This window comes from Homo sapiens, chromosome X (assembly GCF_000001405.40).
Source record: "Homo sapiens chromosome X, GRCh38.p14 Primary Assembly".
In the NCBI taxonomy this organism is placed as follows: Eukaryota; Metazoa; Chordata; class Mammalia; order Primates; family Hominidae; genus Homo; species Homo sapiens.
In genome coordinates, this window is record NC_000023.11 from 7288522 (window position 1) to 7304520 (window position 15999).

The 15999-nt window shown below is 39.5% G+C and overlaps 1 protein-coding gene across 7 annotated transcripts in view, besides 1 other annotated feature; it reads left to right on the top strand.

The window, feature by feature from the left end:
- Nucleotides 1-15999, top strand: part of STS (steroid sulfatase) — a 207352-nt gene that overhangs the window by 141232 nt on the left and 50121 nt on the right. The window lies entirely within an intron of this gene.
- Nucleotides 2077-2578: an enhancer, noted in NCBI's record as "NANOG hESC enhancer chrX:7208639-7209140 (GRCh37/hg19 assembly coordinates)". NCBI's record gives its function as "activates a minimal SCP1, AML or CMV promoter by ChIP-STARR-seq in primed H9 embryonic stem cells {active_cell/tissue: H9 hESC(primed)}" and the evidence as "EXISTENCE:reporter gene assay evidence [ECO:0000049][PMID:30033119]".

Below are 15999 nucleotides of genomic sequence, written 5' to 3' on the forward strand. Positions count from 1 at the left end.
TTCAGATGTAGAATACTCAACCTATATGTATACACCCTTTCCCTTGTATTTTCACCCAATATGTATATGGCTTCATGCTTTACAGTTAGATATTTCATCTGTGGAGGAAATTCTGTACGTGTGTGTGTGTGTGTGTGTGTGTGTGTGTGTGTGTGTGTGTGTCTGTGATGGACCATGTGTTATTTGCCTATTCTTGTGAATTTGGGTCTTGATTGATCAGTACTCTTGGCTGGTGTGGGACCTCTTAAAACTTGGGTAGGACAAGTGTTGGTGGCCCAGTGTTATACTTTGTCTTCAGGTGGTAGGAATCCAGTTAGGATCTTTTCTGCAAGGGCTATGCAGAGGGTCACCATAATGAAACCACTGGAAGCCAGGTGGCTGTAGCCCAGTAGTCTCTTCCCATGAGGTCCAGCATTGGCTGATTCATCTAGCTAGATCCACCCTTGAGTGGGCAGCAATAATTAGTTCAAACCTACACTGTCACTGCAGGAGATTGGGAGTGAAGCCAAGCTCCCCTTGCAAGTACATGAGGTCCTCATGGTGGTCGTGGCATCCACCAGCCAAATGAGTTAGGACCACAAGGAGGGCTTCAACTGCTAGAGCTGTCAAGAGCAACCTATGGTTTCTGGGAGCTGCTGATGGCTTCTAACAGCCTCACTTTTGGACTGGCTTCTGTAGCCACCATTTCTGGGTGGGGTTTTAGGAGGAGGTGAGGGTCATCAGGTGGTTGGGCTTCCCTTGGTCCCATGGGGCAGCAACAGTGATTTGCAACCCATGTGAGCAGGCAGGGGCAAGGTTAGGGCTGGGAAAGTAGTTTGCACACAGGGGAGGGTGGGATGGTTTGGTGACTGTACCCTCCAAGAGCTATTTTCCTCAGGTGCTACCATTCCCACTTGGATGAGGAGCACAAAGCCTTGAAATCAAGTGAAGGAGGGGCTTTTCTCAATTGCCTCCAAAGGGAGCCTCCTGCTTTGCTCCCACATGTCTTCCCCAAGCAGTGAGGAGGGAGCAGCTGGCTGGTGCTACTGTGCATCCTTCCCTGACCTGTGGGTCCTTACCTGTGGAATCTCATCTGTATCCAGGTGTACAGCCATGTCCCCCACTCAGATTCCTATGATGGTCATGAATCCAGGAATATGTCTTTTTTTTCCTTAAGAGATGAGGTCTCGTTTTGTCACCTAGGCTGGAGTGCAGTGGCGTGATCTCGGCTCACTGCAGCTTCAAGCAATCTTCCTGCCTCAGCCCCCCAAGTAGCAGGGACTATAAGCATGTGCCACCATGCCCAGCTAATTTTTGTATGTGTGTATGTATTTTGTAGAGACAGGGTTTTACTATGTTGCCCGGGCTGGTCTTGAACTCCTGAGCTCAGTCAGTTCACCCACCTCAGCCTCCCAAAATGTTGGGATTACAGACAGAATATGTTTCTTCTAGAGTAGTTATGTCACTTTTGCAAAGGGAGCTAGGAAAAAGAAGGAGGCAGAAATTGGTCTATGTTCTCCTTGTTTCTGGAATCTTATGAAACCAGTGCTCAAGCTGTTTAGATTTCTGCATTTAGAAAAGAGGGAAGAGAAATACAACTCATGAGATCATTTGAAGAGAAGACATTTCTATCCCATGAATGAATGCATACTTAATTGAAAGCAGACAGTTCTTGATCTGAGCCCTTTCTTTGGCATCATGGGACCATTTTCAAAAACCAAAAGGCCCTTAATGGTACTGGCAGCATTAAATTGGGGGTTCAGTGCTGTGTTGCCATCTCTTCTCCTTGCTCTTCTTGTGTTCACTGTCACATTAGACTGTGTCCTGTTGTCACGCTGCCGCTGTCATCTGCTCCACTGATAATATTAATACTACTACTAATAAAGTTACTCGTTCTTCTCTCACTATATACTTACTGTCTGCCAGGTGTTATGCATTCATAGTAGTTCTCATGGCAGCCTTCTGCGAATGGAACTGTATTATCCCATTTTAAAGATGTGTAAACCAAGGTGCATTGGAAGGCAGTAACTAGTCTCAGCAAGCTCACAAAATCAGCAGATTGCAGAGGCAACATTCAGAGCCATGTGTATATGGTTCCGCCCCACACAGTGTATACTGGGACGATGATATCATACCACTTCTGGCTTCAGCATATTGATGGCAGCAGCGGTGCCAAGAAAGGACAGACTTTGTGACCAGATTGCATGTGATTCTATCCCCCACTGACCAACCTCTGGCGGTTAAATGTGGGCAGGTGACCTCTCTCACTGAGCCCCCACTTCTTTCTCTGTAAAATGAGATCATTTCATTGCCTTTCTTGCTGGGGATGTTTTGAAGAGTGCCTTCGGTGTATTAAGCACTGGGCAAACATTCACTATTGTTAGGAAGCCTTCACACAGAGCTTTTGTTGCATCACAGCGTCAGTTGATTCTCTTTTCTGTGCATCTTGACTTTGCCGTCTCTCCTCCAAGTATATTTTATTTTGCTTTTTGGTAGGAAAGGGGAGCAAATGGCCATAGCTCTCTTAGGGCACAATTTCGTGTGTTCGAGTCTTGTGACCTTTCGTTGGTTTGGTATCTCACCATGAGAAAAATGGAGTAAATGAAATATTTCCATAACTTTGTCATCTGAGATCATGTGAGCACGCCTCTCTGCCTGCAATCTGAAGAGTCACTTCTCCAACAAGCCTCGTGGAGTAGAAATTCAGGATTGCTCACAGAGTCTGCTGGGAGCTAACTGTCTGTCTTAGGGTGATTTCTGGGCTCACCCACTTGGACTGCATCTCTCAACATGGCATGCAGCGCCCGTGGTTTGGGGGCAACAGTGGCTTAATGCTTTCTTGGGGAGGTAAACACTTAGGAAGGAAAGTTTCTTTACAACAGGATTCTGTAAGTCATTTTATTTGCTCTCAAGAAGTAGAAAAAAGAGAAGGTTATAACATAGCATATACTTTCGTATATTACTCCTTCTCAGTGCAAAATGGATCTTGTTCATTGGGTACCCCAGATACCACTGAAGCAAAAAAATTAAAACAGAACAAACCTCTGCTGTTTCTGGCGTTACCTTAGTGCCTGCCATACTTAACACAAAATTTCATTTATTTAAGGTCACTCACAGTGAGTGTACCCTGACTAATTTAGCTCATCAATTACTTAAATTTTAAAACAAATACTGATGCTCACCTAAATGAACTCCATTTAGTCAGTCACGGCAAAATCTAACTGTTGCACCTATTCACACTTCCAGTTTGTAGAAAATTGTTAGTGAAAGAACATTGTTGTCATAATTTTTTTTTTATTCTAAGGTAAGACAATAGCCAGAACAAAACAAAAATGACAAAATTACAGCATTTTAAGTCTTTTAACTTTAATCACTTGAAGGTGGAATTACCTGTCAAATACCTGTGCCGACAATAGCTATTTCTTGTCTGCCAAGTTTCATCAGTAACAACCATCTATAAATGCTTTTATGCATCCGATTTGTTGCAAGTAAATATACCATACTTTAGGAAGAAAAAAACCTAGAGAAAACAAGCTTCTTTGACAATCTTTGAAGCTTTGAGCGCTGACTTTGAGAAAAACGATTTTGTTTTGTTTACACAACTTGACATTTTGGTTTTGCGTAGTGCTGCCTTGCAATTAAGCATAGGAAGGAGAGACGTGAAATGACATTACAATTTATTTGGAAACAGAGAGAATTGCCATACTTACAGATAGAGTAGATGCTTCTGTGTTACTATTTCTTTGTAACTTTATCCTTGCAGAACTTCCCGAGAGGGTGTCCCAGCATGGGGATGCATCTGTACAAAACACAGCTCTTGTAGACAGGAGTGGGTCTTGCTCAGATATCGTTGGCCAAGAAGGGCTTCAGTCTATTCAGTTTGGGAGATGGAAAGGGAGTCTTTGTACAGAACAGTATACACTGAGTTATAACATCCACAAGTGGTGTTACTGCCTGGATCCACATCATAGAATATACATCCACATTCATATGGATTTGCATAAAAGCATGCAGCGAACTACACATAATATGTAGCATATTTCCTTCCACCATGTCTCACCCAAAGCCAGTAAATCCTTTAGCTACTCATGGCTCTGCAGATGGCTTCTGCTTGGTTTGGTCCATAGTCTTGTCGTTCCTTACCATGTTCTGCATTGCATGCCATGTGCTTTGATCCACTGCATGCCATATGCCAAGTTGACCATTCACAGAATAGTCATTTCCTGGAGGAAGGTCTTTATTCTAATGAAATTGCTCAGTCCCTCTGCTTGCAATTGCATCAGAGTCCTGCTTGAAGCATTTCTTAATTTAAGAGTATTCCAAAGAATACTTTTCTCACTTTGCCACTGAACCAGTCTAGTTAGGACTGAAGATGGAGGTCACTGGGCAAGGTCATCCTTTCAGTGCATGCTTCCTGACTTCAAACTATATTACAAGGCTACAGTAACCAAAACAGCATGGTACTGGTACCACACTGTCTCAATGCCAGTTGCCTGATATTTGGCATTGGCTTCTCTTTGTGCTTTTAAAGCAAGAGTGGGTAGGGTGGCAGGGCTTGCCTCTGTTTTGGGAGGGAGAAGAATGACTTTCTAGGTGACTGCTGTCTAAACACTAGTTCAATGCAACAAGCCTCATTGGCTCTCAGTTGCCATCTCTACTTCCGGGTTAGACTTCTGTGCCCTTGGGCAGCCTCCTGGAGTGTGATAGTTGAACTATTCATGCCCCTGAACATGAGCCCCACAAAAATGTTTATTGGACTTCTTTACTTGGTACTTTTTAAAGAGTTGAGGAATGGAACTTCTACATAAAGCCAGTATCAACTGAAGTATGATTAAAGACAAGGCCGGAACACTAGGGACATAAAGATGAGAAACTCTTCATTGCCTCTCCTCGACTATCTGGTATGAGTGGCAGTGCTGGAGTTATTTTCCACTGAATTCCTCAATGATTCTTTTTGTGACCCATTTGCCCACTAATTTGATATTCCCCATATGTGCTGTAGTCAGAATATAGCATGCTTTCAATGGCATTAATGTTAAATCCTTTGCTCTTGCAGGTGAATCCACATCTTCGAAAATGGCATTTTTTTTTCTTCCATCATCCTATTCTTGATTTTAAATGTATGCCTCAGTTACACCCATATGGAAAGCTCAAAGTAAACCAGGGTATCAGAAAACCCAGTGATAACAGTGCAGCAAGAATGAAGGATATGTAGATATTGTGTATGTTTTTCTTCTCTCTCCACTTTCTATTTGAGTTTCCAGTAAATCTGCATTTGTGACAAAATAGTAAACTTTGCAGAAAGAGGTTTTTGCAACCTCAGATTACAGATGGAAACAGTACATAGCAGGAAAAATAGCAGAAGGGTTAGCTTGAGACCAGGTGTTTGAGGCTACAATGAGCTATGATTGCACCACTGCACTCCAGCCTGGGCAACAAAGTAAGACCCCATCTCTAAAATAAATTTAAAAAAAATAAAATTTGAGAGAGATGGGGTAAGGGCATTATGGCCAGACCAAGGTAGGCCTGGAGAGCCAAAAAAAACTTTTAACTGTAATACATAGTTGAAAATCCATTGTATAGAGTATTGATTTTGGTCCTCTACATTAATTTAGCTTATAAATCATTAATCTCTGAGTCTTATCAAGTCTATAATGATGTTACCATGTTTAAACATCTGCAAACCTAATTTCAGGTTCTTGAGCCTGAAACTAATATTATCTTACCTGGAATTTGTATCTCAAATTAAAATTAATAGTGTTTAATGTTGTCTTATAAATTATTTCTATCGTTTCCATGGTATCTTCCATTTATTATGGTATCTTCCAAGAAGATACCATAAGAAATTATCAAAGAATCAAGTTATCAATTATCATGACCACGCTAAAATGGTCATGATGGAATGACCATTAAAAGACCATTTGGCTAGTTAATTCAGATGGGATTAATAAAAGTACATGAGAGCATCTGAATACTATCAATAATTAGCAGCAACACAATTGCACCACAATAATAATAAACATTTAAGACTTACAATAGCTAAAATGCAAAAGCATTTAGTCTATTTTAGTCACATCTCTAAGCACAATCTTAGTCATGCGTCTAAACATGGATTACTTAATGTAATCCCTACAACTATGCTACAAGATACTTTTATCATCACCTCTGGTTTAAAGGCAACAAAGCAAAATTTGGTTAGGTTGAGCAACTTGTGTCAGGATTGCCCAACAGCCACTACACTATAGAGCTTCTTGGCTGCATGAGAAGAGTTCTGGATTGTGAATTGAATTCAGACAGTAGACCTACCTGGTTGCTGGGGAGAGTCTCCTGCTCTGGAGCTGCAGGTTGTGTATAAGACAAGTCTGTTTGGACCAATGGCCTCTGACAGTTTTCTTCTCACTCCTGTATTCTAGTATTCCATCAAGTCCTGAGTTCTTGAGTTTGCCTCAGATACTATAAAGATATCTGGGTTCAAAGTTAAACAAGGGATGTGGAGGACAGTAGAAGCTATGGGTACTACAAGGGTGTTTTGGGTAATGCTTTTTCTGCCATCTAACCATTCCAAGCACATTTAATTTTGCTAATTAAGTCTTTCAAGGCATAGAAAGGAACGACATTAGAATCCATGAGTTTGAGTTAAAGCTGTGTTCTAAATAATACTCCACTGAATACCAATGTGTATATTTGAAAAGTGAGGTCAAAATTAGGGGTCAGAACTAGAGTTGAATACCTGTTGCTTTAAAGTCATGGCCCAATTATAGCTCAGTCAAAAAAATCTAGTGGAACATTCCTCCTCCATGAATTTATTCAGCCTGCTTGAAATAATTGAATTAATTAATTGGATTAAATGAAGTAATATATTTAGAGTAGTGAGCATAGTGCCTGGCTTGCAAGACAGGCTCAATAAATGGTAACTGCTATCATTATTATTATCATTATTGTTATGATTACTCTTCTTTCCACAGATGTGTAAAGCATCTTTGCTTAAAATGTGCCTATACCTCCATTACATTGAGTAGAAAAATCATAGATGAGAAAACGTCTATAATGGAAAACTAAGCAGATATTTGCATCATCTTATCTTTTTTATTACTAGCTCACCTTATATTTAAGGTATCTCTGGTAGGACCCACGGTCCCTAGAAGGGCCCACCAATAGCATTGGTATTAAGGATCTTGGGGAAAGATCTGCTTCTCTCGACTAACACTGCAAGTCCCCACATAAAGCAAACAGATCATCCTGGAGTTAGGAGGATATTGCAAAGAAGCTGTGACTGGCAAACTGAAGGTTGCATGGATTAAGGAGGTTGCAAAACATAAAAGATGAGTTTACCAAGGCATTAATCAATCTGTCCATGTTTTAATTCAAGTGGAAAGAAAGGCTTGGACCTGTGACTGATGTACAAGGTGTCAGCAAAGGAAAACATCATTTTCAATTTTGTATCTTCAGCTTTAGAGATGGTAAAATCCAATGCAAAGACCTAGTTGTAGCATGAACGTGAGTCTCGATGGTGTGGTAGAGCATCATAAATATGAAGAATTCTGAAGGGCTTTGTTTCCCAGTCCATTGTTCATAGCCTCTGGCCATTCTCGACTCACAGTCCTCCCTCCCTTGTGGCTCAGTCTGGAGGTTTAAGGTTGCACCTCCAGTTGGATATTGCTGGAGAAGTTCTGGCTGATCTGTGTCCAGAGCTTTGCATTGACTTCTGTCATAGAAATGATGCAATGAGCATCTGTGCAACCTCCTACTCCATGGCACAGGCTGGGTTACCTCCCAGGGCAAGTTCAGCTGATGGCCATACCAAACAGCAAATGGCTGTACCCGATTACCCAATCTCTATCTTTGCAAGAAGAGAAAGTCCAGGAAATACAATGGCATTGCTGGATCAAGAATTGAAAGACAGTGTGCTCACTTTGAACTCTGCTCTTTCAAAACATGTCCTGCTAGTCTGAATGCCCATGGCTCAGGGAAACCACTCTATTGTGATGTCGATAACCCTATGGAAACGATGTCCAAAGTGGCTTCCCTTGAGCTACAGGCATGCTGACTTTGGGTCTTCTCCCAGACACCGGAAGGAGTATAGTTCCACAGAACAGGTACAATGACTTTGTTCTTCCCCGCACCTTTTCCCATCTATGCAGGAAAACACTGGTGTGCCCCATGAACGTGAGAACAAGTTGGAGTTATTTAAATTATTTCCAGCAAATGCAACACCCTGGAAAACACACAAGTTATTGTTAATCCAAGAAAATAGTGGAGTAGATCCGTGAAGGCATCCCAGATGGTGAGAGCAGATGCAAGTGCAGGAGGGTAAATCACACATTACGACTGCCATTAGGGCAAAGATGGGTTTAATGGAGGAAATCACAACATTATCACAACAACCAGGTACAACACAATATAAGAATTAATTACCAGGGGACAATATGAACTCAGGAACAAACCAAAGAGGGAAACCCAGTCAAGTGAAGACAGGGTTATCTGTAGAATGGCGACATTGCACTCTTACAGTTTTCCATGTTTTAAGTACCCTAATAATTCCGATTATATGCATAGTATGATTATTTACTATGTTTGAAAGTTATGTGTCAAATTGTCTGAAACTAGCCAAGTCTCATTATGAGCATTGTTACTGAGAACTGTGAAATTCCAGCCATCTCTTTTTATATGTCAACATTGATTAAGCATTTAGTCGCAGGTAACCTTTCCTCTCAAAGTGTGGTTCTTGGGCAGGTACCATCAGCATTATGTAAGAGCTTTTTTTTTTTTTTTTAGAAATTCTCAGATCCCCACTCTAGGTTTACTGAATCAGAACCTTCATTTTAGCATGGTCATGAATTAGCCAATTGAAATTCAAGAAACATTGGTATATAAGGTGACTATACTATGAAACCTATATGCTAAGTACAAGGTCTTGTGTGTTAGTTTGGTTCAGCCAGCAGAATTCTTTAAAAAATTGTTTAAGTTAATCTAATCAGTTTCCGAATATCACATTTGCTTACTTTTCCATAGTTATTTAAAAAACGATTAGGGATGTCTTCTTAACATGTTTTGAATGAAATTTTTATGTTAACTTATGACATGTGAAAGTGAGTAAATTAATAAAAAGCATGATGATACACAAATTAATGCATGTAGTGACTAGTTGAATGGGAAGATCTTGCATTGGGTACGTCCACCCATCACCGTCGAAGAGAAATTTATCCTCTAATCCAAGAACTTCAGAGAGGATGATTCTCCATCATCTATTTGAGGCAGACAAATTTGCATTTATTAACATAAACTGCCCATGGCAGAAGTTTGAGCCCCTTGTCTCTTGCTCAGTCATTAGGGGAGATAGGAGCCACTCTTCTCTTGTTATTCAGGAAGTAGATACAGTATGTGCTGGAGTTCACCATCTGCCTCCCAGTTCCTTAGTTCCTGCAACTCTCCTGCAAGAGTTTCATTTCCAGTGCCCTCCTTAGACCTTGCTGTCCACTTGGCATTTGACTGATTGAATCCCAGATGACCTTTTATGCAGGAGTTGCATTAGATCCATGTTGAGTACAGCAAAGCACAACTTCTCCTATTTAACTATTATGCCATTTTGCATTCTTCTCTTGAAAAAAAAGGGAAAAGCCATACAAACACCAATATTCCCTGCAGTTACATTGAGTAGGTAGGAAAGACTTCCTTAATAAACCCCCCAAAAGACAGCACATCACTTTTGTATCTCAACCAACATACAAAATGCAGATTATCAACTTTATGCCTTTTTATTTTGGTCCTATACTATTTTTCTTTTATGTGTAAACTTTTAGATTTGATTTTATACTGTAGATAAATCATATGCTTTCCAATGTCTGATCTGAAGGGTCCCTTGAGCTCCATATGGATGGAGGAGATCAGGACTAAAGTTTTGGAAATCTTGACCATTTATTTCAGGAAGAAGTACTAGATTGAATTCACCTATATGAAATGGACATTGTATCAAACTGGAGATGATACACCTATTTGTGCAGTGACAGATATACCCTGATGTATGGGACATTGGTGTTACTTCTAATCCTAACAAAGAATTCCCTTTCTGGGACTAGTGACAGCAGAATATCTCTGTGCCACTCCACAATGGTTCAGGAGAGCATGAGAATAACGCTCCAAAGGCCACATCCCTGAAGTAACACCTAGCATTTTATATGGCCAGCAGAGAGTCGTAGCCACCCCCAGGTGGTACAATTATTGCAACTCTTATCTATCTTAAAATTCTAGCTTTAGCTGAAATACTGGAGTCTCGCCATCTCTGTTGGTCAGATGTAGGAGTAACTTGCTCACCAGCATAGCTTCAGGGAGACTTTAGGGTACCATTGTGCCCTGGAGTTACACTGAGTAAGTGAAGAGGCTTTCTTAATTATTAACAGTGGGTGCCTGTTTAAGGGGATATCTACCTATCTATCTAGCATATGTGATATAAAAATAAAACACCTATGTTTTATATTATATATTAATATTATATAAAATAATTATATATTTATATATATATAAATATATTTTATTTATATATTTATATATAAATAAATATATTTATTTATATATAAATTATTTTATAATAATTATGTTATATGTATATAACATATATAAGTATATATTTATATAATTATAATTTCTATATAAATTGTATAATTAAAATTTATATATAAAGTATATAAATATATAAATATATAATTATATAAAATATATAAATTTTATATAATTATATATAATTATAAAATTTATAATTATAAATTATATGTAAGTATATAAATATAAATAACATGATAATAAATATATAATTATATTAATTAAATTTAGAAATATTATAAAACATAATTTACATGTATACTTACAAAATTATAACATTCTATATAAATTTATATAATATACGTATAAAATATATAATTTTATATATGTGTATATAAAAATATATACACATATATAATATAAAACATATATACATATATGTGTGTGTGTTATATATAATATAAAACATATCTATGTTATATTTAATGAGCCTAATGCTTCCAAAAGTATAACTTTCATATATATATAGTGACTTCATAGCACTTTGCTCCAGTATTCTGTCTGAGTGTACCTACCTTGTAGAAGAAAAGGCAAAGCGAAATGAACTAAAATGACAAGGATTTGGTGAGGCAAGCTGAGGTTCTAACTCCATTGTAAAGTTAAGGAACAGTGAGCACTCCCTGTACGGCCAGTCCAGGATGAAGTGTTTTGGGTGGAATTCCTCATTCTTCCACAGCAACCCCCTACTATTATCCATTATCACCTCTGACTTAGTGGCAGAGGATCCCAGTGAGAAGCCAGAGACTTGGGTTTCAAACCAACTCGCTTAAGTCAGGACCTAGAAGCAAGAACTTTAGCACTTAGTCCTATGCTGTGGCACCTCACTCACCTAAGACCTCGAATTCTGCTTTCATGTTTGAAACCCTTCTCTCTCTGCACTTTGTAGCTCAGTGCCTGACTCTTAATAGTAGCTTAGTGCTTGTTTGTGGGCTAAATAAATGGAATGACAGAACTTTCTAGAATTTAGGCTTCCTCTGCAACCCACATCCACACTTGACAGAGGAAGGAGCCAGATTTTTGCATTTCCAAGGTTTCTTCTTTGGGACTGCAAAAGGTCTGGTTAGGAAGCCCTCACATTGATAAGCTTGTTCTTGTTATCTCCAGTTAAATAACAAAGTGCTCTTGAAATGGCTTATTTTCTATATTTGTTTCCTTCAGAAAACAAAGGCAGAAAGCTTTGGAGATAGAACATTTCATTTACAAGCTATAATGCAGCTCACCATCGGCAATTCAAAACTATCACTCTATATAAATCAGTGTCATTATATCTTGAGAACCTTCCTGAGAAATAATATTTGCAGACCTCTAATTTATAATAGATTGCTCTGAAAGCAAAAATAATACAGCAGCATTTGTTCTCATGGGAGATTTCTGTTCACAGTGTTTAGGAGGGAAACATGTTAGACCTTTGTAGGATCAATGTTATAAAAAATTAAATGTCGAATGGGCTCTGGGATTTACAAATGAGATTCTGGCTTAAGACCTGAGTAGTATGGGATCCAGACTGTATCTTTTGGGAAAGAATGGGCTAAAAGGAAATTAGAAATCTGACCATTTCTCAGGAAGTTGAGCTAAATATTCTACCATGCATACGTGCATGGCAGCCTCAGCTACTTTCTCTTGTACTAATCCCAGCCCAGTTGTATAGGGCACTTTAATGAAAGTGATCACTCTAGGCAATGAAGAAGAAACTTGATGAGGACATGTTAAATATCATGGTCATTTGAAATATTGGAATTTGGAGGAGATATCCAGGGATAAGCATTAAGATGGGGAAGGATGCAGGATATTTCAGTTGAGAGAATCTGCATAATAAATGCAGCTGTAAATTTGTCTGGAGTTAAAAATAGGCAAGAGGAGAAGCTGTAAGTAGGATGTAGCTGGCCTTGGCTTTGGGGATAAGAGCTGTCCCTGAAAAACTCTGTGACACCCCAGCCTTTAGCACACAGCCCGTGTAAGGTGGGCACTTCATAAACCCATGTTGAATGAATGCATGAGGAAGTCTAGGAGTCAAAACTGCATTTGAAAGGCATTTAAAAAATTAACAGAAGGAGGCTGAGGCAAGGGGATTGCCTGAGCCCAAGAGTTTGAGACCAGCCCGGGCAACAAACTGAGACCCAATCTCTACAACGAATACAAAAAAAAAATAGCCAGGCATGGTGATACTCACCTGTAGTCCCAGCTACTTAGGAGGCTGAGGTGGGAGGATCACTTCAGCCCAAGAAGTAGAGGTTGCAGTGAGCCATGATTGTGACACTGCACTTCAGCCTGGGAGACAGAGTAAGACCCTGTCTCAAAAACAACAAAAATAATAGACTATTTTTGAGCAGTTTTACATTTACATAAAAACTGAACAGAAAGTAAAGAGTGTTCATACACTCTCCCCTGCACATAGTTTCCTTATTATATATATTATGTATTCATGTGGTATATTTGTTACAATTGAGCCAACATTGATAAGCTGTGATTAACTGAAGTCCATAGTTTCCATTAGGGTTCACTCTTCGTGTTGTATGTTCTGTGGGTTTGGACAAAGGTATAATGGCATGGATCCACAATTACAGGATCATACACAGTAGTTTCACTGCCCCCAAAATCCTCTGTGTTCCGCCTCCTCATCCCTCCTTTCTCCCAAGCCCACGGTAATGACTGATCTGTTTAAGGTCTCTATAGCTTTGCCTTTCCCAGAATGTCCCATAGCTGGGATCATACAGTATGTAGCCTTTTCAGATTGACTCCTTTCACTTAGAAATATCTTAAGATCCTTCCATGCTTTTCATGGCTTTATAGCTCATTTCTTTTTAGCTCTGAAATAATCTTTCATTGTCTGGATGTACCACAGTTTATTTATCCATTCAACTGCTGAAGGGCAGTTTCATTGCATCCAAGGTTTTGACGATTATAAATAGACATGGTATAAATATTTGTGTGTGGGTTTTTGTGTGCACATGAATTATTATGGGAGACACATTTTTATAGGAAATTTCTTTGCAGCATTTTCTTTGTGCAGATACTTCTACATATAGAAAGATGAATTTTGTTTCAAAGGAGGGTGTATGGTCATATGCCCTTTACTAAATACTAACTACAATACACGGAAGCAAATTCCTAAGTCCTCTGCTACCTGCCTAATCTGTGTTATTTTACACAGAGGTTGTTGTATGAGCAAAAGGGGGCATTTTTCTTTCAAAGTATAAACGGGGGTTATAGCGCCTTATTGTTTCCTTCTATTTCAACTCATTAAGCTAATTACCATTTTCAAAGTAATTAGGCTTAAATTAGTGTCTCAGCCAAACAACCCCAAGCCCGAGAGCACAGGTGGTTTGCTTAGCTGCACCAGATAACACCATAATAAATGTCTGCCTGATCATGATTTATCATGGGAGACAAATTGCTAAAATGGCCCTCGGGTGTCTTATTTTTTGGTTCTGAGTATGACATTTACATATATGGTGTGGGTTCTGGGAATGTTTATCATTTGAGTTAAAAATTGAGAAACATTGAACATACTCTAGCCCGTGGCACTTGCAATCAAATAGCAAAAATATGCCTTGCCACAAATGACTTGGTTGTTGCTTTTGCATCAGAAATCATCTCTGCCACCTCCATGGGCATCTCACTCTGCAGTCCTTCTCCTTCCCCTTTTCGGGACCAAGTGGGTGTGAGTGCAACCTGGAGCGAAGGGTCTGGCACTGCAGGGTGTGATCTACCTGCTGGATAGGATGTATTCCAAATCCTATATTTAATTATTTCGACTGCAGAGGATGCCTGCGGCCATTGTAGAATATCAGTTGTTGTGGACATCCTAGTGTGACTAAGAGCCCACCCAAAATTTGATTCCCATGTCTAGACCAGTGACAGCATGCACACACTAAGAGGATATGAAAAGGCTTATTACTCATATAATGTGGCTTTCTGAGGAGAGCAGGTGATATGGTTTGGCTGTGTCCCCACCCAAATCTCATCTTGAATTGTAGCACCCATAATTCCCACGTGTTGTGGGAGGGACCCGGTGGGAGATAATGGAATCATGGGGGAGATTTTCCCCCATACTGTTCTCATGGTAATAAATAGGTTTCGCGAGATCTGATGGTTTTATGCGGGGTTTCTGCTTTCGCTTGGCTGGCTCTCTCTCCTGCCTGCTGCCATGATTGTGAGGCCTTCCCAGCCATGTGATACTGTAAGTCAATTAAACCTCTTTTTATAAGTTACCCAGTCTCGGGTGTGTCTTTATTAGCAACGTGAGAGCAGACTAATACAGCAGGTTACTAAACCAGTACAAAAAATAGCTTGAGAGAGCTCGGAAAAGAAACGGATTCTGCTGTTATGGTGATTAGTACTTGGGGCTGGGATAAGGGTCTCTTGCATGCAGACAGGGGCTTGCATAGTTCCAACCTCCCACCGGCGGTGAAGGAGGGAGCGCCCAGGATTTCTTATCAGCCTGCGTGGCACGAGCAGAAGAGGGAGAGATGAGGCTTAAAAACTCTTAGCACTCAAACATTAAGAAATGGAGTCAGGCTCTAATATACCAGTCAAAGCCTAGCAGTATGCACTGACTTATTAAATTAAATCAGCAGCATATGACTATGTAGAGCCCTGTGGAAATTGTACATTGTCTACCTCTAGTTTGCCCATCATTGTCTTCTGATTTGAGAGCTGAGTGATAGCTTCCTAATCAGAAAGTCCATGTTTCAGCTCCTTCTTCAAACTTCAACTTTCCTCTGTTTTTTTCTTGCAGAAAATTATAAGCATATGCAGAAATGAAATAGTACAGTTAAACCTCCATATGCCCTTCACTCATATTTAACAGTTATTAACTCCTGGCTAATCTTGTTGAATCTATATCCCATACTCATTTATTCTCGCCCTGCATTCTTTTGAATAAGACAGCAGCTATCATGTTCCTCACCACCTCCATTTCATCTACGGGTATTTCAGGATATATCTCTACAAGATTTTTTTTCTCTGGTGTACTTTTTACTCCTCTGATTCTCACTGAGTCTATCTATTCACCTGTTCAGGATTTGAGCATTTTGAGTTTTCAATCAGATTTAATTCTTACTTTCTGATTCTTCCACTTCTTAAGTATCTGAACTTGAACAAATCGGCCTTTTACAGCATTGTTGCTCTACCCATAAAATGAAGCTAGTGCCATTTACTCATAGGGTTCAGTGTGGTCTAAACAAGATAATATGTAATAAAATTCTCTACATGTAGACAGTGCTCAACAGAGGGTAGCAATTATTGTTATTATTATTGTTGTTGCTATTATTTTTTGAGGGGTTATCTGGAGGTGGTATACAATGTTAGTTCTGGGGAAAGAAGGTGAGGTCAGGAGGAATGTTGATATTTGTGATGGACGGTTTAGACTTGGAGAATAACTCCCGGTTATTCCTCTATCAATGAGGAATATTGATATTCATG